We start from the raw sequence: 24,453 nt of genomic DNA on the forward strand, positions 1-24,453 counted from the left end.
ACACATAATTCTTGGAAGTGTAGGTAATATATGATGTCTCAATATATGACAGACTAGTAATAGTGGATATTGCATCCTTATTATTATGATTAATAATATTATTATTAATTAATGATCCTCAAATTAATTAATTAATCCTCAAATTAAAATTATCCTAACATTACATGGCCAATTATTTGTGGGTGGAGGGGTTGACTACTCATGACTCAAGTAGTTTTATTGTTAGATGAAAAGGATGCAGAGCGAGTGGAAGCCATGAACTCTATCCTGGGTTTGATCAGCAAAGGGCTGCAGGAAACTTGCATTTTACCAATATGTTCCCCTTTAGAGAAAAGCTACAGAGATTTGTATTAATGGATTCCTGGTCAGCTTCCATTACACTTTTGTTTCTGTTCCTGTACCACCAAGAAGCCCTCGCTGAGCTGAGTGGTGAGAAAATTAAAGGGATTTTGTATAGGGAAGTATTGCCCTGCTTCAACCAGCAGATAAGTGCTCCACCCCTTGCTCTCTCTCCTGAAGCAGGAATACACTCTTCACTATGGGGGTGACTGATCTGCTTTGTGGGTGCAAGATAGCAGTCATGTCTCCTTTTGTTACTCTTCTCTCCTTTGTATGGCCCCCACAATTGTCTTTCAAAGGTTCAAGAAACTTCTGAAGAAAACACCCAAGAACCACTTCTGCATACCAGAACCATGGCAGCCTGGTCTGGGTGACAGCCAAAAAACTTTTTCTGTAAATAGCTGGAGAGTGAATATTTTATGCTTTTTGCAGGCCATGAGGTTTCTATCACAGCTACTCAACTCGGGCTTGTAGCAGAAAAGCAGCCATAGACACTATGTAAATGAATGGATGTGACTGTGTTTCAGTAAAAGTTTACTGGGCCATAGTTTGCTGACCCTTGAGTTAGATCAACAAAAGGCTCTCTTTACTGGAAGGTACTTCCATATTACAGCAGGTTACCAGAGTGTTCTGGGCTCCTCTGGTGAACTGTGTTGAGGATGGTTGGCCTGGAAGGCAGTAGGTCAGCAGCAGGTCAACAGCCATACCCTGACTGCTGCTGTCAAGGCCACTCTGCTGCAGGGAGCAGAGAGGAGGGACTGATCAGGGTAGTGAGGGGAAGGGGGAAAGGAAAGTTAAAATGCATGGTAAGAAAAGGGACTCTGAGTTCCCTGGATCTGAGGGATTGGGACAGAGGAGGGAATTGGGAGGTAGGAGTAGGACAGGGTAGTGGGTGGGGACCTCCGCTTTAGCCAGCTCCCTTTCCCTGGGTCAGAAACTGTAAAAAACAAAACAAACAAAACAAATTTATCTGTAACAAAGATGCCTACTCCCAGCAGCTCCTGGACAAAGCCTCTAGCAGCTGCAACTGGACCAACCCTCAAATGGTCCATGACCTTACAGATTAAAGACCTGGTCCATTATTTATGTTGCCTCATTTCTTGTATCACCCCAAAACTCACTAAAGCAGATTTACTTTCAACTGCACTCAATCAAATAGATGGTATGCTTAGAGGTATCACAGGGAAGATCCTCTTCACAGCCCTGCCCTCACTCTCCACTGTTGCAGAGTTAATCTTTAGAAATATTGAGTCCCCAGGCTTGCCATGTTCTCCTGGTAGGGTGGGAGGAAATACTCAGTGATTGTTTCTCTCCTATGATTCTGCTTCTCTTCCTATGCTGAGAATTCTGTTCTGTTTGCTGCTGATAGCTCCCAAATAATGAATGGTCAGGTCGTGGGATGACTTCAGAAATGGCAACCACTGAATGGCAAAGAAAGTCCTTCCAAGTGTGTTTGTATCATCCAGAGCCTAAATCATGCCTATATAAGGACTTCAGGTAGAGGATTACATAGGGCATGTAGCTCCACAGTTAGGAATTCTGAGCAAATACTGCACTAGAAGGAAGCATATAGGTGGCTGAATTGTTTTCAGAAAGCTTTCTCTTCCCTTTTCTGGTTGCTATGGTCTATATATTGGTGTCCCCCCAAAATTCATGTTGAAAACCTAATCACCAATGTGATAATACTAGGAGGTGGGGCCTTTGGAACGTGATTAGATCATGAGGGCACATTCCTGCTAAATGGAGTTAGTGTCTTTAGAGACTTCAGAGAACTGCCTTGCCCCTTCCACCATGTGAGGATACAATGATAAGGAACCAAAAAATGAGCCCTTATCAGACACTGAATCTGCCAGCACCTTGATCTTGTACTTTCCAGTCCTCAGAACAGTGAGAAATAACTTTACGTTGTTTATAAGCTACTCAGTCTAAGGTGTTTTGTTATTGTAACCCAAATGGACTAAGACACTGGTTAAGGTGGTTTTTACACAGACACAGTCGAGAATGGCAGTGTGTTTAAGTAGGTGTGCTCTAGAGTCTGATGACTTGGGCCCTAAATTCCTGCCCTGACACATTCTAGCTGTCAATGACTTTGGACAAATTACTGAACTCCTCTGATCTGTATCTGCCTCCTCTTTAAAGTGAGCAGACTGATACTATCTAATTTAGAGGACTAATATGAGAATTAAATGGAAATCATCTGTGTGAATGGCTTAGGATAGTAAGTTTCTTTTTCTTCTCCTTCCTATTATTATTACATGGACATGAATGAAAGGATGCAGAAAAAGTCCCATACAAACCCCAGACTTCCTCCTCTGAGCCTATTCTAGCTGCACAAATTCTACCCCTGGAGAATTCTTTGGAATAAATGTAAATCTGTTTGGAGATAGAACAAGGTACATTATCAGCTATTTATATTTCAGGGAGCATACATATGCTTCTCTATACGCATTACTCTTCACTTTCATATGTGTTAACATATTCAGGACTTGGACAGGCCTGAAAAAGTAAAGCTCAGGAGGGATCTTCTCTTCATTTTACAAAGGGAAAAATATGAGTCACAGAATCTAAATCATTCTGTGGGAGCCTGGACAGAAACCAAGTGCTATTGCACTAGGGCAGTGTTTTTCAAAGTGTGGGCCAAGGTTGCCCTCTGCTCCAGAAGACTTTGTCAGGGTTTGTGTCAGGATCAAGCCCCAGCTGAGGTCTGAGGGGAGTGGGTGGACTGGGGGCAGGAAGCTGGAAGAACTCTCTCGAGACAGCAGGTAGATGAGACATGGCTTTATTCAGCAGCTCTTTCACAGTGTCAGTGTTACATTTATACACCTCACAAACAGTAGTGGCCGAGAGCCAGGTCATGAGCATCTCTAAGTTATATCTACATAGCTGTGATTATATAAGGCATGGGAATGTGCACCTTTGCTCCAATCCCGCTGAGCCATGCAGGATGTTTACCTCGGCCTATGACTGCTTGGCTGCAGTGCAGCCATGTTCCCTATGCTCCACTCCCTAGGCCGAGAGGATCCTCTTAGTGGGGACCTGAGCACATAGGGAAGCACCCTGGACTTATAGGCCACAACACAGAGAGCAACAACCTACTACTAACATTCCTGCTATGCTATCTATGATTATGAGAGCCCAACTTAGACCAGAGCTCAGAGATGCATACTATCTCTGCAGGGGGTGGTCAGTAAGGCTCTCAATCACCTTAATCTCCCGTGACACCACTTGTAAAGCTGTCGTTATGTTCTGGTGGTTGTCAGGGATGAATGTACAACATTGCGTCCCTACAAGGGCACAGATGCTACCTTAGGCAGCTGTAACTATGTCTAAGGCAATCCGGTTTGGCAGCACCACTTTCCTGATCTGATTAACTTCATCGGTTAGCAAAAGGAGGGCAATTCAGGTGTAATTTAGGGCCCAAGCTGCGTGCTCTGCAAAGGCTGTAACCTACATTTCTACAGTGATGACACTTACCCCAGGGATAGTTATTGCTAAGCGATAGAACCACCAGGGGGCCCGCCACACTCACAAAAAGCAGAAACGCAGCACCTCCCACTTATGCGGGCAACTAGGCAATGTGGGAGCACAGTGGCAGGCATATAAGGTCACCCCCAGGTACAACGTCCAGTCCAGTTGGCTGGCATGATATGGCCATCCTGTGTTCTCACAGACCCATAAACTCCCAGGGGCTACAAAGTCCATGGGGGCCTGGTCTTGGCAAGGTGTGTGGCATGTGTTACATTTGCACAGGCCTCAGCCAGCAGCCATCCCAGAATGACTTTACCCCAGTGTTGCTCTATACATCGTGATACCTGCAATGGGGGCACCATGTGTTCTCCCATTAGCCAGCCCTCATGGACGTTATGAGTCAGCCAGGGGGCAAGCTTGCCATGGGTTTTGTGACACCCCCTATCCAAAGCCTCCATGTTGCATCCCACCCATTGTCCGTGGGACCCCAAGTCTTTAGCAATGTCCGGTTCTGCACAGAAGCTGGATGCACAAGCCAGGGCAAGCTGTCTGCAGCTGCTGCTGGAAGGGCGGTGCAGATCCAACAGTTGGAGACATTGGTCAACTCGGTGTAGGTGTGGGCCCAGTCCATGATGTTGTTGGAGCATGCCAACCTACAGCTGAAATGACAAAGCAGGAACCGGTACCTATAGCGGTAAATCACATCACTCAGGCAAAATACAGGCCAACTTTTTATCTCTGGATAACAATGCAACCATCAAGGACTTCTGCCCTGGCTGATGATACCACACCTTCTTAGCTCCCCATGGTTCTTTTGGGTCTCGTAGCTGTGTTAAAGTCACAGGGGAGATCATAATAGGCCACACAGACATAATAGGCCACACATAATAGGCCATACATATGTTCCCCAGAGGAGGGTCCCTTCCCTACTTTTCCCCTACCAATGGTCAATCATGAAGGCCACACATTAAATACCCAAGGAGTCACATGTAAGTCATACTGCATGCCCTCCCCTAAGGGGGCTACAATAGCCAATCATCTGTAATGGAGGGCTTGGAGGGTCCATGGCCAACACCAGGTTTTCTGTTCCCCTCCCTTCAGGGGCACCAGAGCAGGCAACAACAGATTACCATTTGTCCCCATACCTGGTCGGAGGAGGTCATTCTTGGTGTGTATCTGTAGCAGGATGGGGGCAGCGGGCTGGTGTAACAGTGCCTCCACCGGGGCTGGGCTGCCTTTCTGTGGCCACTTATTCAAGATTTGAAGCACCAGGTCCAACCTGGAACTCCAGCCCCCAAGGATGGGGAAGTAACATGCAAACATAACCTGTTCTTCAGGAGTCTGTTATATTGCTCAATCATGCCAGCGGCTTGTGGGTTATAAGGAACATGGAACTCCCATTGTATGTCCATCTGCTGTGCTCACTGTCGTATTTGATGTCCAGTAAAATGTGTTCCCCTATCACTTTTGATGGCCAGAGGAAGGCCATATAAGGCACTTAAGTGTTGCAGGGCTCGAATGCTGTGTTGCTGGTTGGCCAACCTGCAAGGGTAGATGAGCAACAAGCCGGTGGCTATGTCTGCAGCCATCAGCGCATATGTGTAGCCCTGCAATTTTGGCAGTGGCTCAGCGTAATCTATTTGCCATCTGGTCAAGGGCATCTGCCCTACTGTCACTTGTTGTGTCACATTGGGCAGTTGTCTTTGTCTCAGGTATGCTTGAGCACATGCTGGGCACTTCTGGCAGGCCTCCAAAATGTCCTGTGAGGGCAAAGACAGATGCCAGCACCTATTGACCTGTTGCATCAGTTAACCCCCGCTTGTCCCAGTTTCCTGTGTAGCCACAAGGCTACATCTCATATAGGTGCCAACTCTAACCACCTGACCTTGGCCAAGGCATCTGCCTCATCATTACCAGAGTGACCAAAGACATATGGGCTGACATGTGATAGATAGTTACATCTTTCTGATGACCTGTTTCCCAGAGGTCTTGCCACATAGTTTGTCCCCAAATGGGCTGATGGCCTACAAGCCAATTCTGTAACTTGCAGGTAGTCAACCATAAAGTTAAACCTCAATAGACTCCCCAGCTATTGGTGCAAAGTATCATAGGTGACTCCTCTCTGGGAATCACCATCCTCAACCACTCTGAGTTCAGCCCACTGGGTGCTTTGTCCACACCCAGTATCAAACTATATGGTGTCAGTGTCGGCTGGATTGCCACAGCAGTCCAGGCAGCAGCAGCACCCTGGCTGGACCCATCTGTATACCATGCCCCATCAGGAACGAGAGGATACCCTTTCTTTAACAGTGATGGCTCAGGGTCTAGGGGTGCCTCAGGCCCCATGGCCTTATCTTCCATTAGGACTATAGGCCCCAAGGCTTCTTGTAACTCTGCTGCTAAGGGAGTTGTAGTCAGCATACTCTGCTGTTCCAAGTAGGCACCCCGCTTCGCTAAAGTGGTTGTCTGTGCTGTCCCAGTCTGGAGGGTCACTACTCAGGAATGTACCCACCCGACTATTGGGTAACTCATCTGCACGATGACTGTAGCCCAATCCGTCACAGTCTCATAAGCCTGAAGAGCAGCATATGCAGCAGCTAATTCCTTCTGTATTAATGAGTACTGGAGCTCAGCTCCCTTCCACAGCTGGGACCAAAAACCTACTGGCGTTCTAAAGCACTCCATGCGCTGCCATAGGACCCAGCCAAAACCGTCTGTGGTTACATGTACATCAAGTTCAAATGGGCACCCCTGATCAATTACTTGTAAGGCCTGTGTTTGCTGAATGGCCCACTTGGCGGCCAGAAGGTCTGTTCCAGCTTCATTATCCCAATCCCAGGTAGCCCCTTTTTTTGATAACCCATACAATGGTTTTATCATTTGAGCCAAATGGGGCACAAATGGCCGCCAATACTCCAAGAGGCCTACAAAAGTCTGCAGCTGCTTCATCGTGGTGGGTCGGGGGTATGCCTGGATTTTCTCAATGATGGCCTCTGGTATGGCCTTTGTCTTACTCAACCAAATAACTCCTAAGAATTTCGCAGATAATCCAGGCCATTGGACCTTGGATTTGTTGATGGCCCAACCACATGCTGCCAAATGTTGCCACAAGAGGGGCACTGCCACTTTTAAATCTGCAAGAGAATCAGAGGTTAACATAATATCATCAATGTAATGAAACAGGAGGACCCCTTTTGGACATTTCCAGGCAGCTAATTCCATGGCAACAAGACCACGACAAATGGTGGGGCTATGCACATAGTCCTGCGGCAGTATGGTAAAAGTCCATTGTCATCCTTCTCATGTGAAGGCAAACTATTCCTGGCTCTCTGGAGCAATGTCAATGAAGAAGAATGCATTAGCTAAGTCCACCACAAAGTGGTACTGTCCTAGTTCCATTGTCAAGTGGTCTGTCAAATCCATGATGGAGGGTACAGCTGCATGCAGAGGAGGTGTCACCTTATTCAGTTCCCAATCATCCACTGTCATCTGCCAAGTTCCATCAGGCTTTCTGACTAGCCATACCAGGGAATTGTAGGGGCGATCAATGCTACGCACTATTTACACCTCATCTAACTTCTTAGTAGTCTTAGTTATCTCTGTATGCCCCCCTGGCAAATGGTATTGATGAGTGGAGGTAACCCATCAGGGTTGTGGCAGAGCTTGGGACTGGTGATGTGTATGTCCACGCAGTACCAGCTTTACTATGCAAACTTGGAGTCTGAATTCTTTGGCCGTGAGGTGTAAATCCAGACCATGCAAAATGTCCATCCCCAGAAAATATTCACGTATAGGAGAGACATACACAGAGTATAGGTGGGGATCCAAGCGGCCAATGCCAAGATGCAGAGACAGGTTTCACCTTTACTGATTGGCCCCCATAACTGTCAATGAATACAGTTTTGCCCAGAAACTTACCCGGGTTCCCAAAAACTAGACTGCAGTCTGCACCAGTATCTACCAGTGCCAAGACCCTCTGTACATTAGTTGGGGAGCAGTGGATTGCCAGCTCCACATGTGGCCTCTGGTCATCCACTCCCCAACTCCCACAAAGCCAGGCATCTTGGCCAGTTCCCTAATCAAACAAGAAAGGTGCCATATCTTCGCCTGTCTGCAAATAGTCCTTGAGCTGCAGTGTCTAGACAGGATTAGGTTGAACAACTGTTTTGCCCCTTCTTGGGCATTTTCCAGAATTGTTGCTCTGGGGAAAATTGCCTCCACAGAGCCAACAGCATTTCACTGGGTTGCCCGTCAAGTGTCTCTTGAGCAACCCTAGCTGAAAGTAAATCAAACCACATTGGCTTGTGGGTCACCCACTGGGCCCCTTGTTATATCCTTGGATAGTTACCTGTGGACCTTCTTTACAGCATGGACTTTCCCTTCTTTATGGCATGGAGTCCCTGGTCCTGCCAATGGCCTTCTGCCTCCCCAAGGGCTGCCATAGCGGTAGTCACTTCATGTATACGGTGCCCCACATATAGGGTGAGAACAGAGGCCAGAGAGCCAAAAGAGTTTGGGGATGCTGAGCCCAGCACCAGATCCCTCATGTGGGAGGCAAAGCATTTATCATCTGGCCCCCAGGTATTCAGATCAAACACAGCCTGCTGCATACCCATCTCCTAGAGTATCTGCACCAAATCAGTATATGATTGCCATTTACTCACAGTTTCTGGTATTTCTCTGGCATCATTCCAAACAGTCCATGTGGCTCCCATTAGCCACTCAATTAAAGTGTGGTCATCTTGTCCCTGTGCTGACCATTGGCACAGCTGCAGCCACTAATGAAGGGAGGGGTGAGTTGTGATAGAAGCCAGCTTCTCTATCAGAGGTGGAGCAGGGAATGTTGTCAGTTCCTTTGTCCCAAAGATGGAGTAACCAGGCAGGGAGGGGCTGCCGGCGCGTTTACCTAACTCACACAACTCAGTGGGGTTATAAGCACTATAAGAGGTGTGTTCCACCACTGTGGGAGTCCCTGGGCTCTCCCCTGGGGCTCCATTGGCTGCTTGCGTTCTACTTCTGATGGATCATGGGGCAAGCCAGCAGCAGAAGAGCCTCCTCCTCCTCGGCATCAGACCCAATGAGAGTGTCCGGCTGGGAGGATGGGCTCAGGTCGCACTAACAGCTGTTGCTAACTCCTGTTCCAGGCTGTTTATCTGGGCCTCTAAGCACCCTGCTTGAGCCTGGAAGTCCTTCATCCCCAGGCTGTACTACAAGCTGTGCATTTTGGCCCCCAGGCACTTAGCTTGTGTCTGAAGATCCCTTACCTGCACTGTGTCCTGCAAGGACTGAGTATATACTTCACACAGTGCAGTCAGAAATGCCCATCGACTCTGCCGGCAAAAGTGCATTCCTTCTTGAAGCTGTGTGCTTCCAGCTGCTCCAGTGCCTTCTCCACACTCGTGGGAGACCAGTCCACTGCCTCCTATGTTTCCACTGGGGCCCATCCAAGCAGCACCTCTGCCACTGGGTACCACAGCCCGTGCTGTGGCCACAGAGCTGACCTGGAAGCCTCAAGGAATGAAGACCCACTCACCTCATCCTGCTGACTATGCCAATTGTCAGGTTCGAGCCCCAGCTGAGGTCTGAGGGGAGTGGGTGGATAGGGGGCAGGGAGCTAGAAGAACACTCGAGAGACAGCAGGTAGATGAGATATGGCTTTATTTAGCAGCTCTTTCTCAGTGTCAGTGTTACATTTATACACCTTACAAACAATAGTGGCTGAGAGCCAGGTCATGAGCTTCTCTATGTTATGTTTAGATAGCTGTGATTATATAAGGCATGAGAATGTGTGCCTGCACTCCAATCCTGCTGAGTCATGCAGGATGTTTACCTCAGCCTGTGCCTGCTTGGCTGCAGCACAGCCATGTTTCTTACAGCTTGCTAAAAATACACATTCCTGGGTCACATCTCTCTGAGACCTGCTGAATTAGACTCACTCGATGTGGGGCTTGGTAGTCTGTATTCTTAGCACCCTCTTCATGTAATTTAGATATATGTAACAGTTTTAAAAATCATTGCTCTTGGGTTGATACCAGTGTCTCTCAATCCCTATTAAACATCTCAATTACCTGCAGAGGATTTACTTAACAAAAACACATTCAAGCATGCCTGGGCCCCACTTCCCAGAATTCTGATACAGTAGGTTGAGAGTGAATCCCTGGCATCCTCAGTGATTCTGATTCCAGGCCAAAGTTGAAAGTTACTGATCTAAATCAGTGGTTTAAAACTTTGCTGAACATTAAAATGACCTGCACTGGCTGCACCATAAACCAATGAAATCAGAATCCCCGGGAACAGAACCCAGCCATCGGTATTTTTAAAATGTCTCCCAGGAATTCCTGAAGTGTAATCATGATTGAGAACAAGTGGTCTAGATCAGATGTCAGTAAACCTTTTCCTTAAAGGTCCAGAAAACAAATATTTTAGACTTTGTGGGCTATGTGGTCTCTGTCACAACTACTCAATGCTGCCATTATAGCATGGAAGCAATCATACACCATATGTAAATAAGTGGCTGTGACTGTGTTTTAATAACATTTTATTTGCAAAATTAAGTGGTGGGCCAGACTTGGCCTATATTTGCCATTTGTAGATCAGTGTTTCTCAAATTATTTGTGGTACAGGATTGTTTTTTAAAAGAATTTCCAATCTGTGGCAGACTGATTCTTTTGTAAAATACAATAAAAATAAATTACTAGAAAAATGAAAAAGACAAAATATGAGCCTGCTGATTATGCAGTTGGATATTATAGCAATATTAAATTGCTATGATAGTTTCTAAATACTTACACTCCATTTCTTTACTTATCTTGCATGAACTGACAACAACCATCTCAGACTAGACTCATTCAAAAACTACACTTTGAGTAGCATAGGTATAATCAAATCAATCATCTTCCTGTTTAAGGAATAAATGTGAACACAGTTGGGTAGAAAAAACTTCATAGAGAAAGGACCTTTGAATCCAACTTTGAAAAAGGAGATGGACCTCAACTAGTGAAGAAGCAATGACTAGCCATCGTAGCCTAATACTTATCACTTAAAAAGCACTCCATAAAGTGAGCTGAATTGAATCAGGCAGTGAAAAGCAAGGTTTGTTAAGAAGATAGAGAGAAATGTGTTTGCCACTGTAAATAGAGGAGTGCTGATGGACTCCCAAAAGAAAGCGTGTTGAAGGGCTTTGAAATCAGAAAGGATTTGAAATCAGCTACTGGCATTGCCACTTAGTAGCTGAGTTTGTGGCAATTATTGACAATTCCAAGCATTGGTAACCTCATTTATAAAGTCAAGAATATTGTTAACTTCCCAGGATTGCTGAGGGAATTTGAGTTTTATAGTCAAAGTGCTCAGTATCTGGTGCTCAATACAGACAGTGATTATTGTTGGGGAGCCACAAGGGGCAGTGGAGAGAATGCCAGCCAGCTTCAGAGCCAGGCAGAGTTGGGTGTGAATTCTGGCTCTACCATTTGTGTGACATTGGGTCATTTAACCTCAGTGAATCTCAGTTTCTTCATCTATAAAACAGAGACATTCATACCTACCTTTCAGTTAAACTAAGAATTTGAGATTATCAAAATGTGTAAAGTACCTGGCACAAAAGAAGCATCCAGAAATGGTAGCTATCATTTTCTCATACGATTTTTTATTCATATATAATCCACATACCATAAAATTCATCCTTTAAAATGTATAATTTAGTAGCTTTTAGTATATTCACAAAGGTGTTCAACCACCACCACTATCTAATTTTAAAATAGCTATTGATTTTAAACTATTTAAATTCAATAACCCTAGGTTGTCCTCTGTCCTTTCATACCCCAAAACCTTCACTGGAGCTTGACAGGGGAGAAATCATACCATACAACAGTTAGCAATAATTGTATGTAGTCTCTTTCTAAAGTCTCACATCTTATAGCAGCTGCTCCAACCTTTTCTCCTTCTTCCAGAGCTCCAACTTAGGTGGCTCTCCTCATCTTTGTTCCTTCTCTTGGAGCTTTTGTAACTCTAGCTTCCCTATAGTTCCATGTCTTTTCTCACACTCACACCCAGTAATGTATCCCATTTCCTCAGTTTCTTTGGTTTGCCACTGCCAGGCATCACTTCTCTGTGCTCTGAGGTCTGTGCTCCATTCTCATAATGAGGTCTTGCAGAGGGTGCTCTGGCCAGGAGCTACACTCTTTAACTCCCCTTGTGTCTGGGTAGAGCCACATGGACTAAGTAGACTAGTCCCCATCTCAGGGAGGTAAGCAGAAATGATGAGTGTCACCTCCAGACCAAACTGATTAAGAAGTGGGTATGTCTCCTCTACCTTCTCTCTTCTTGTCTTCCAGCTAAAGGCAAAGGACCCCAAGACTCAAGAAAATAGCTAGGCCTCCAACCAGGAGGAGTTTGGGCCCACGGTCCACAAATTATCACATGAGAGGCAACCCATTGAGTACCTGATTGGGATTAACATGAGCAAGAAACAAATCTACTGTGTTTATGCTACTGAGAGATGGAAGATTGTTATAGAAGCTAGTTTTGCCTTAACTGAGAGCAACAACTTGTGGTGATGTCAGTGTCAAAGTCAGTGATAGCATTCCTCTGGCATTGTCCCAGGGAAGCCAGGGATTTGGTGGGACCTCAGAGCCAGAGGTCCTTGGATGCTATGGGGACTGTGGTTAAGAAAGACAAAGTCTTTGGCAGTGGCTGCTCTGTCTCCCAGCAGGACTAGGGTGGAACCGATTGGCAAAGTATAAAAGCACAGTGAGAGCAAATACCAGAGTTCAGTTGGCTGCTCCAAGGCACTAGGGAGTGGGCTCTGGCTGACTCCAGATAGGGACAACACCTCTCTCCCTGAAGTTGGCTGAACAGTCCCAGTAGAATCCTTCCTTGGAGACAGGCACTCAGGCTAAATTTCGATAGTTAGATCTGGCTCTCTCCCCTTTCCACTTCTTTTTCCCTCAGTTCAGTGGCCTTGGTCCAGCAGGTCAGGTAAAACATTGGTCAGACTTTCCCAGAGCTCTGTCAGAGAAAACCCCATGGTATCACATGAGAGGAGGCCAGCACACCTTTCTCTAGTGTTACAGAATGAAACTGTTGTATGCGTGTTAGGTACATGGGGAATTCTCCTGCCACTAAGTGGGAACCTCTGGTAGAGATGCTAGGTATTCAGTCCGCTACTACTTCTCAGTTTTCTCCTCAGAAAGTAAATCAAGAGGGCCATGTTTCCCATAGCCCAGTGGGAAGACAAAAACAGTTTGAAATACACCTAAGATCTAATCCTGGGGCAGCTCTGGGGCCAGGTAGCTCAAGGGTTTGGGTCAAAGCTCACAACCACACAGGGAAGACCTAGTGTTTCTTCCCTACAAAATGATGAGAGATAGAATGGGAAGATGGGGTGCAGGAACAAAATCCCAACTCCATCCAGTCTCCCCAGATGGTCTTGCAACAGGCTTGAAATACCTGGCCTGTTGCCCTGGCCGGTTCCAAACCCCTGAGGCAGGCTCTGTGGGAAGCAGCCTTTGTCCCCTACAACCTTAGGAAAGCTACTTTTCCCATCTGAACTGACCCTCTGAGTATGCTTTCAGCGTTTCCCTTAGTCTGTCCCCAGGACCAGTGATTGCAGAGCATGCTACCTAAGTGTTGGTGCCACAGGGATTCAGCTATTCTCACAGGGAGCCAGCAAAAGCCTCACTGACCAGATGTCTGACTCCAAACTCCTTTTTATCCTGCTCAGATCTGGACAGATGAAGTTTTCAGGTACCCAGTGGCAAAACAGTGGTCTCCCCATGGCTAGTCCCTTCTGTGTGAGATGTTTCCTTTAGGGAAATCATTAAATGATGCTGCCGGGAAAGTAAATTGCCTAAGGTCACCATGAGCCAGGAGTTGGCCCTCAGGTTTGCTGGGTTGGGAACTTAATTCCTTAAGTTCCTCAGAGATAAGAAGGCTATGGGGAGCTGATTCTCTAAGTAAGAGCCTGATTGACAAATGAATACAGACTTATCAATGAGGGTATCAGGTAGGATCATAAGTGCCCAACCTTTTCTGAGAGTGCCCCTGAGGATAAATAATCTTACTTGGGATGCTGAAATATAAAGGAGATTTTCTTGATGTAGACAAAAGCAGAGCAAAGTTTCAAGAGTGTTCTTGTTTATAAGGCTATTTCATCATTCTAGAGTAGCTGGATTCACTGCCTTTCTGCGCTCTGGAGACGTTTCTGAATAAAAAGTACTGGTTCTCAGAATTTGAGGGCTCTCACCCTGGCACAGTGCTTGAGGTCACCCACCAGTTTAGAGAGTATTTATGCAGACCATCTGTGATGCCAGATATAATAGGGCACAATTGGGTAGATGACAACTTCTTTTATAAGCTAGGGCTTTCTAATTTTTTGTAAATAATGCACTCATGCAACAATATGTGTATGAATTGACAGAAGGATTCTAGCCATCCCAGGTCCTGTTCTGCCACCCTGAGATCTACAGGAAGTAAAAATCCCCACACATCTGTGACTCATTGTTGCTCATCAGTTGGCCCTGACAGATCTGTTGGAAAGCTCTGGCACATACCATCATCTTCTTTACTAGATTTTGGAGCATTTAGCAGAGATGATAAATATTTTAGTCTTATGAGCAACACATTTTCTCTTAGGATCAGATTCTTTTGATATCGTGTCTTGGGGTTTTCTGTCTCTACTTTCAGCAGGTGATTTTTTCTGACCCTGCCCCAACCATCCCAAATCTGGAATGCCTTCTGTGGACAATACTTTCATATTGTGTCCAGATCCCCACTTCAGGGCTGAGGCACAAGCCTCCAGCTGCTGATGGCTCACAGCTGTGTCCCTTCCTAGGCAATGACCTTGGCAGAGAACTATCTGGCTCCAGACTAAGGCCCCTCCCAGGCATGGCTCAATAGCCAATGACTGCCTGATGCAGAGATACAATGGTTGGGCCCTTGGCTTTAGTAGGAGACAATTCTGAAGGCTCATCTCAGCTCCAGCACTCCCTGTAGCATTGGTAAGGCCTCAGTTACAACATATGAAGGGTCAATTTCTCCCCCACCTATCCTTGTAAGTGCATCTCTGGAAACATACCCAATAAACCTTCTGCATGCTAGTCTCTGTCACCAAGTCTGCTTTCAGGGAACCCAACCTAAGCCACATTCTCTTTGAGATCTCTTGAGCATTTCAGTGTCATATACTTTCTACACTATAAAATGACCAGATTTATGTAAACACATGGAGTAAATTGTTAAAAGTTAATGGGAAAGTGAACAGCTAAAACTTCTGGGAAAAATATAATTCAAAAGAAAAATCTGAGTCTTCCTTTGGGAAGGGAGGGAGAACCCAGAGACCAAAAGGTGACCTGTCCTCTGTGTCTTCTAGGACAAGTCACCTTCTCTCTCTGTGGCCTTCCTTTCTCCATCCATCATGTGATCAGGTGCATACCTAATTCCTCTACTCAGACTTTCTGTGGCTCCACATTTCTCTGTTTCTCTAATGCAGTGGTTCTCAAACTTGAGTGTATATCAAAACCTCTTTAAAGGCATTTTAAAACACAGATTTCTGTGCCCCACCTTCAGAGTTTATCATTCAGTAGGTCAGGAATGCTGCCCTAGAATTTGTATCTCTAACAGGTGCTAGGAGACGCAGATGGCAGTGCTGTTAGTCTGGGGTCCACACTTTGAAAACCATCGTTCTGGTGGTGTCTAAGAGCTGTTTGTTCTCTCTGATGGAAGAAGGACCATTTCACAAGTTATAATAGCAGTGGTATTATTACTCAGGAACTTTAAACAGTTAATTCAGCTTCTTTATTTGCTTAGGGAGAAACTCTCTGTTAAGAAAAGTTTTCCCAGCCCAGTTGAAACCTAACTATCTAAAGCTAAATCTTATATGAAAAAGAGGTCAGTTTTTCCAGAGGAGGTTGTGAAGATTATAAACCACATAGATTTTGATTAACGGCACACTCTTCAAAGCAGAAGAAAGGAGGGAGGAAAAAAAGTGTCTTTTGGAGAGTGTCTTTCTTGAAGACCCTTGCCACCTGAACATGATCTGGATACTGACAGGGTCTGATATGAGCCTCACTTGTGTGAAAGATCTCAGCCTCCAGCCCCTGGGGACTCTGGGAGCTGTGCTATAGCCTTTAAGGCATGCTCACTGCCAGCAAAAGTCATCCACACAGGGCTGCACTGCTGGAAGCACTTTCCCTTCTCTGGCCCCAGGCCTCACCACCCAGTGTGTTTTTACTGGACATCGCTGAGGTCTGAGAGCCCAGGCGTCAGGGCACTTCCCTCTTAGGAGTGTAGTGTCTGGGATGCTGAGCCCAGGCCTGCCAGTTCCCATGCTCGCCTCCAGGCCATGACGTAGTCCTGCTGGCTGGAGGAAGGCAGGCTTTGCCTGTTCTCACTGAGTGTGTGGTTGGATGATGCCCTGGACTGTCCTCTGAAAGCACTTGGACACTGCATGGGATCAAGAAAATCTTTAAATAATTCTTCCCCTTTGTACCAAAGGCAGTTTACCCACCTTTAAAGCATCAGAGGATTTCAGGACTCAGAGGGATCTTGAGAGACCATCCAGTCAAGCTCTTTCTCTTTAATGATCATGAAGCCCTGTTCTTCATAATGATGTTAACATTTCAAGTGTATGAAGTTTACAGAGTACTTTCATATATATCATATTTTTCTTACATGGTCCATTGAATCTGTTAGAAAGCCCTGTTGACTTTTCCTAAAAAATATGCCCTATAGATCTGCCATTTCTCTTCATCCTTTCTGCTATACCCTAGCCACCATAATCTCTTGCCTGGACACAGCGCTGGCCTCCAGACATGTTTCTTCTCTTGTTCCCTGGCTCCCCCACTGTCTTAGTCCACTTAGGCTACTAAAACAAAACACCATATACTGGGTGGCTTATAAATAGCAGAAATTTGTTTCTTACAGTTCTGAAGGCTGGGAAGTCCAAGATTAAGATGCCAGCAGAAACAGTGCCCCATTTCCTGGTTCACAGAGAGCACCTTCTGTCTGTGTCCTTACATGGTGAAAGAACAAGGCAAGCTGGACATGGTGGCTCACACCTGCAATCCCAGCACTTTGGGATGCTGATGTGGGAGGATCACTTGAACCCAGAAGGTCCAGATCAGCCTGGGTAATATGATGACACCTCATCTTTATTAAAAAAGAAATAAAAAATGAGAGAGGAAGGCAGTCCTCTGGAGCCTCTTTTATAAGGGTACAAATTCCATTCATCAGGGTTCCTGACCTAATCACCTCCCAAAGGCTCTCCATCCTAACACCATCACATTGGACGTTAAGATTTTCATATGAACTTTGGGGGGACACAGACATTCAGACCATAGGACCACCCCACTATCCCTTTTCCACATAGCAACCAGAAGGATGTTTTCAAAATATAAATCAGTGGCAGTTGCACAACATTATGAATGCACTAAATGTCACTGAAAATGTTTACGTCAAAATGGTTAATTTTATGTTATGTAAATTTCACTTCAATTTAAGATATCTATGTCTGAAATGGTTTAGTTATTTGTCCTACCTATAGTCTAAATTACATGTTGAAATATAATCTCCAATGTTGGAAGGGGGGCCTAGTGGGAGGTAATTGGATCATGGGGGCAGATCCCTCATGCCTTGGTGCTGTCCTCACAATAGTGAGTACTTGTGAGATTTGATTTTTTAAAAGTGTGTGTCACCTCCTCCCTTCCCCTTGCTTCTGCTTTTGCCATGTAACGTGTGGGTTTCCACTTTGCCTTCTGCCATGAGTAAGAGCTCACTGAAGCCTCCCCAGAAGCTGAGCAGAAACCAGCACCATGCTTCCTATAAAGTGGAACTGTAAGCCAAATGAAACCTCTTTTCTTTATACATTACCCAGTCTCAGGGGTTGGTTGTTTTTCTCTTTTTACGTAGAGTTCATTTTGCCTTGTACCCGTCTCAGGTATTTCTTTTTGTTTGTTTGTTTTGAGATGGAGTCTCACTCTGTCACCCAGGCTGGAGTGCAGTGGCATGATCTCAACTCACTGCAACCTCCACCTTCTGGGTTCAAGTGATTCTCCTGCCTCAGCCTCCTGAATAGCTGGGATTATGGGCATGTGCCACCACACCCAGCTACTTTTTGTATTTTTAGTAGAGATGAGGTTTCACCACGTTGGCCAAACTGGTCTCGAACTCCTGACCTCAGGTGACCGCCTGCCTTGGCCTCCCAAAGTGCTGGGATTTCAGGTGTGAGCCACCATGCCCAGTCACAGGTATTTTTTATAGCAATGTAAGAACAGCCTAACATAGAAAATTTGTACCAGGAGTGGGGTCTTGCTATAAAGATAACTGATAATATGGAAGCACCTTTGGAACTGGGCAATGGGCAGAGGTTGGAAGAGTGTGGACGCTCAAAAGAAGACAGGAAGATGAGGGAAAGTTTGGAACATCTTTGAGACTGGTTAAATGGTTGTGACCAAATTGCTGATAGTGATATGGACAGTGAAGTCCAGGCTGACAAGGTCTCAGATGGAAATGAGGAACTTACTGAGAACTGGAGCAAAAGTCACCTTTGTTATGCCTTAGCAAAGAACTCAGCTGTACTTTGTTCATGCCCTGGGGATCTGTGGAAATGTGAACTTAAGAGTAATGATTTAGGGTATCTGGTGGAAGAAATCTCTAAGCAGCAAAGCATTCAAGATGTGGTGTGGCTGCTTTTAACAACCTAACTCAGATGCAGGAACAAAGAAATGATCTAAAGTTGGAATTGATACTTAAAAGAGAAGCAGAGCATAAAAATTTGGAAAATTTGCAGCCTAGCCCATAGCAAAGAAAGAAAAGGCTTTTATAGGGGAAAAATCCAAGCAGGTTATGGAGTGACTACTTGTTAGAAATATTTTCTTTTTTTTTTTTATTATACTTTAAGTTTTAGGGTACATGTGCACAACGTGCAGGTTAGTTACATATGTATACATGTGCCATGTTGGTGTGCTGTACCCAGTAACTTGTCATTTAACATTAGGTATATCTCCAAATCTCCAAATGCTATCCCTTCCCCCTCCCCCCACCCCACAACAGGCCCCGGTGTGTGATGTTCCCCTTCCTGTGTCCATATGTTCTCATTGTTCAATTCCCACCTATGAGTGAGAACATGCGGTATTTGGTTTTTTGTCCTTGTGATAGTTTGCTGAGAATGATGGTTTCCAGCTTCATCCATGTCCCTACAAAGGACATGAACTCTTCATTTTTTATGGCTGCATAGTATTCTATGGTGTACATGTGCCACATTTTCTTAATCCAGTCTATCATTGTTGGACATTTGGGTTGGTTCCAAGTCTTTGCTATTGTGAATAGTGCCACAATAAACATACGTGTGCATATGTCTTTATAGCAGCATGATTTATAATCCTTTGGGTATATACCCAGTAATGGGATGGCTGGGTCAAATGGTATTTCTAGTTCTAGATCCCTAAGGAATTGCCACACTGACTTCTGCGATGGTTGAACTAGTTTACAGTCCCACCAACAGTGTAAAAGTGTTCCTATTTCTCCACATCCTCTCCAGCACCTGTTGTTTCCTGACTTTTTAATGATTGCCATTCTAACTGGTGTGAGATGGTATCTCATTGTGGTTTTGATTTGCATTTCTCTGATGGCCAGTGATGATGAGCATTTTTTCATGTGTCTTTTGGCTGCATAAATGTCTTCTCTTGAGAAGTGTCTGTTCATATCCTTTGCCCACTTTTTGATGGGGTTGTTTTTTTCTTGTAAATTGATTTGAGTTCATTGTAGATTCTGGATATTAGCCCTTTGTCAGATGAGTAGATTGCAAAACTTTTCTCCCATTCTGTAGGTTGCCTGTTCACTCTGATGGTAGTTTCTTTTGCTGTGCAGAAGCTCTTTAGTTTAATTAGATCCCATTTGTCAATTTTGGCTTTTGTTGCCAATGCTTTTGGTGTTTTAGACATGAAGTCCTTGCCCATGCCTATGTCCTGAATGGTAATGCCTGGTGGGAGGTGACTGGATCATGGGGGCACATCCCTCATGGTTTGGTGCTGTCCTCACAATAGTGAGTACTCGCAAGATCTGGTTGTTTAAAAGTTTGTGGCACCTCCCCCTTCCTCTTATTTTCACCATGTGACATACAAGCTCCTGCTTTGCCTTCTGCCATGAGTAAAAGGTCCCTGAGGCCTCCCCACAAGCTGAGCAGATGCTGATCCTATGCTTGTTCAGCCTGTAGAACCATGAGCCAGCATGATTAAAAGAAGTTTAATTAAAAGAAAGTTAAATGAATTAAACTTTTCTTTACAAATTACCCAATCTCAGGTAGTTCTTTATAATAACGCAGGAACAACTTAACACAATATCTGTCTATCTATCTCAGAGAGAGAAAGAGAAGAGAGCATGACACCAAATCCTTCAGTGGTTTCAATTGCACTTAGAATACAAATGTAAATTCTTTAACACAAGAATACTAGGCCTATCTGATGTAGCCCTTGCAACATTACCTCCCTCATCTCCTATCACACTTTCTCTCACCTGTGCTGTTCCCAGGCACACTGTCTTCCTCTCTGTTCAAGCACCTTGTACCTGGAGAAGCTGCAGGTGCTCAAGCTGGAAGCTGTTGAGCTTGTTCCTAAAAACCATTACAATTCCCTGTCTTTAATATGCTTCATCCAAGCCCACCCAATCCAAAGAAGCTTCCCCACTCACTATTAGTACCTCATCTTATTTTATTCATATCACTACCTGATATTGCCTTATTTGCTTATTTATTGTTTGACTCCCTCTCCACAAAAATATCTGTTCCCTGAGAGACCTTGTCTGTCTCTTTCAGTGCATCTCCAGGGCCTAGAACAGTGCCTGACTCCTAGTAAGTGTATTAGTGAAGGTTCTCCAGAGAAACAGAACCAATAGGAGTATAGCCTCCACTGTGTATGTGTGTGTGTATACATATACATATATATACACACATATGTATATATACACATATATATACACACATATGTATATATACACATATACACATATATATATATATATACACACACACACACACACACACACACACACATATATATAGTCATCCCTCGGTATCCATGGGGGTTTGGTTCTAGAACCTCCCTCAGAAATGAAAATCTGCAGCTATTCAAGTCCCTGACATAAAATGGCATAGTATTTGCATATAACCTATACATATTCTCCCATATACTTTAAATCACCTCTAGATATGGCATTACTTGTAATACCTAATACAATGGAAATGCTATGCAAATAGTTGTTATACTGTATTGTTTAGAAAATAATGACCAAAAGTCTCCACATGTTCAGTATAGATGCACTTTTTTTCAAATATTTTTGATCCATGGTTGAATTCACAGATGTGAAACCCATGGATATGGAGGGCTGAGCATATGGAAAGAAATATATGATAGGAATTGGTTCATGCAGTTATGGAGGATGGCAAGTCAAAAATCTGCAGCATGCTGGAGTCCCAGGAGAGTGGACAGGAGGCAGAGACCCGATGGCAGTCTGCTGATTGGATGAGACTCACCTACATCTGGAGGGTCTGTTTCCTCAGAGTTCACTGATTTAAACGTTAATCTCATCCAAAAACACTCTCCAAGTTGACATAAAATTAACCATCACAGTGAGTATCCTATAAGTGTTTGTTCACTGAATTATCTAATTTGATCATTGGAAATCCCATGAGGTAGGAATTACTAGCCCACTTTGCAGGTGTCTCTGGAGCAAGGCCATGAGCTTATTTGTTTAAAAATACACAGCTGGAAAGTGGCAACAGCTATGTTGAGCCCACTCTCTCATCAAGTCCGGAACTTACCTTAACAATTGCAGTGCACTTTGTATGCACTTCATCTCATTTGCTATACTAAGTAGGACTGAATCCTGAGCAATCTGGCCTTTTGAGAGCAAGAGTTTCTCAACTCTTCTCTGGAAGTTCTTCCTTACACCTATAAAAACCTTCCTGCTAGGACAGTGGGGAAGAAGAGAAGTTAAGAGTTTGAGGAAATAATCATGGTGCTTTCCCCTAGTACTCTAAACCTTTTTGGGGTTTGTGTGACTTTTGTCCTTTACTCTCTTTGCAGCAACCAAGTCAATCAACAACATATGAAAGAAAAAAAAAACAATCTATTTCTCATTCTAGCCCAATATTTGCTAAGATAGCTGCCATTTATCAGACACCTACTATATGTCAGATAACTCTAAAGAGGAGTAGATACTATTAACTGTGTTTTGCATTTGAGAAAATTGAGATTCAGACGATAAGTAACCTGCCAGGGTCACAATTTATAAGTAGCAAGACATACTCAAATCTAGTCTGAATCCAAAATTATAGTCTTCTCACTTTACTACAGGGTTTCTTAACGGAGGTCAAATCTGACTCTCTACTAATTCATTCCACCCAAACCCCGGCCCCATTTCTGTCTATTTCTTTGCCAAACTGAAGCAGCATGCCATAGTGGATAGACCAGACGTCCTGGAGAGAGAAGCCCTGGGCCCTTTCCAGGCTGTCTGAACAAGTCATTTAGTCTATTATTCTACAGTTTATGCATGTGTAAAATGAGGAAAAGAAAAAAGTACCAACATTCAGATTAAAAGAGATGATGTCTGTGATGCTGAGGACTTGACAGTACCGAATGTGTTAGCTGATATTGTTATAATCCATATACATTGCTTCTTTCTAAATCTACAGTAAACACTTGCAGGGATCCTTTTTTGATTAATACAAATCCATTTAATCACCTGTTTGATTTGTTTGCCTTGAGCATTAGCAAGTAATTATGAGCTCATTTTCAAATAAATTTGGTGTTTGCTTTGTTTTCTCAAATGGACTGTTCGGTAAGGCAGGGAATGAATTTTCCATTTCTTTTGTATCTTCTTATCAAGCCCAATGCAGGAATCTTCATTTAACAGGAGCTCAGTAAGTCCAGGTTGAAGAACTGACTCAAGAATGAGAAATTGTAGGAAAAGTCAAGAAGTCGTTTTGTTCATGGGGTGGAAGACATTTGATGAAGACTGATGTCTGGTGAATCCAGAAAGTATACATTAAGTTGGGAGCTGTGTCCCTAAGTGGATTGGCAAGGATAAATGGGGACACTGAGGGGCAAAATCTTGAAATCTCAATGCTTACATGTTTTGAGAGGATGGGTATTGGTTCTTTCTTCTTTAGAGCTGGCATGGTACATTGCAAAAATTATTAAACTAAAAGTCAAAAATCCTGGGCTGTGTTCTAACATTTGTAAGTCATTTAACAGCCTTAAGTCAATTTTAAAGCTTGGAACATGATAGTGCTGAACTAGATTATTGTAGGGTTATTTCCAGCTAAAAAATGTTATAATACATCAGACAAGAGGCTAACTTTAATATATAAAGGCCTCCTACAAATCATCTATAAAAAAGCCAGTAGAGCTTGCAGTGAGCAGAGATCGTGCCACTGCACTCCAACCTGGGCAACAGAGTGAGACTCCATCAAAAAAAAAAAAAAAAGTGCCAGTAGTGCAACAGAGAAGGTGAAGAATATAAGCAGGTAGTTCACAGAAAAGATGACAACTCTTAAACAAAAGAGCAATGTAAAAAATTACAACTACAAAGAAATTTGATGTTTTCAACTATCAGATTGGAAATGACCAAAGAGTTCTAAAATTCACTGTGTAGCTCAGAGTTTGAGGAAGCCAGCACTTTAAAAAATTATCCTCCAAGGCCGGGCGTGGTGTCTCAAGCCTGTAATCCCAGCACTTTGGGAGGCCAAGGTGGGTGGATCATTTGAGGCCAGCAGTTTGAGACCAGCCTGGCTAACATGGTGAAACCCTATCTTTGCTAAAAATACAAAAATTGGCCTTGCTTGGTGGCAGGCACCTGTAATCCCCACTAATTGGGAGACTGAGGCAGGAGAATTGCTTGAACCCAGGAAGCAGAGGCTGCAGTGAGCTGAAATCGCACCACTGCACTCCAGCCTGGGCGACAGAGCAAGACACTGTCTTAAAAAAAAAAAAAATCTTCCAGAGGCTGGCCCTTGCAAGGTGTGCTTCCTGGGCTCCTGAGTCAGCTGGCTTAGAATATTCCCTAGAGAGGTTAATTTGGTGATTACTATTAAACTTAAAAGTTCACATACCCTTTCTTTGATGTGGCAGTTGAGCTTCTAGGTATTGATTCTACAGACACACTCCCACACATGAGAAATGACTGTGTATGCAGGCATTCACTGCAGCACTGTTTGTAGTAGCCACAGATTTAAAACAACTTAAATGTCTGTTTTTAAAATAAATTATATCATATCCCCATACATGCAATGATAGCAATCTTTAAAAAGAATGAGGCCATCTCTATATGTTCTAATGGACAGATCTTCAAGATAATATGGTTTAATGAGAAAAGCAAGGGGCAGGACGGCGTGTACAGTTAGTATCATTTGAGTTACTAAACAAAAAGTATATATATAATATATATTATTTAATGTGCATATTACTGTTTACTTAGAAATACTTTAAAACTTACAAAAGTTGTACAAATAAAACAATATAAAGAACACTTATACACCTGTTACCCAGATTCACTCATTATTGTCATTTTAACCCATTTGCTTTATCATTTGAATATATAGTTTTGATATCTCTGGAAACTACCATAAGAAATTTGTAACAGTGGTTGCCTCCAAAGAGA

At 44.0% G+C, this 24,453-nt stretch overlaps 1 long non-coding RNA gene across 1 annotated transcript; it reads right to left on the reverse strand.

The window, feature by feature from the left end:
• Positions 1 to 3,102: 3,102 nt before the first annotated feature.
• Positions 3,103 to 9,473, reverse strand: LOC105378929 (uncharacterized). The gene is made up of 3 exons (XR_947744.3): positions 8,472 to 9,473; positions 4,953 to 5,567; positions 3,103 to 4,466 (listed from the first exon to the last, which is right to left on the reverse strand). It is a non-coding gene; the product is annotated as an uncharacterized LOC105378929 (long non-coding RNA).
• Positions 9,474 to 24,453: the final 14,980 nt, after the last annotated feature.

The sequence above is a fragment of the Homo sapiens genome, chromosome 1 (genome assembly GCF_000001405.40).
Source record: "Homo sapiens chromosome 1, GRCh38.p14 Primary Assembly".
NCBI lineage: Eukaryota > Metazoa > Chordata > Mammalia > Primates > Hominidae > Homo > Homo sapiens.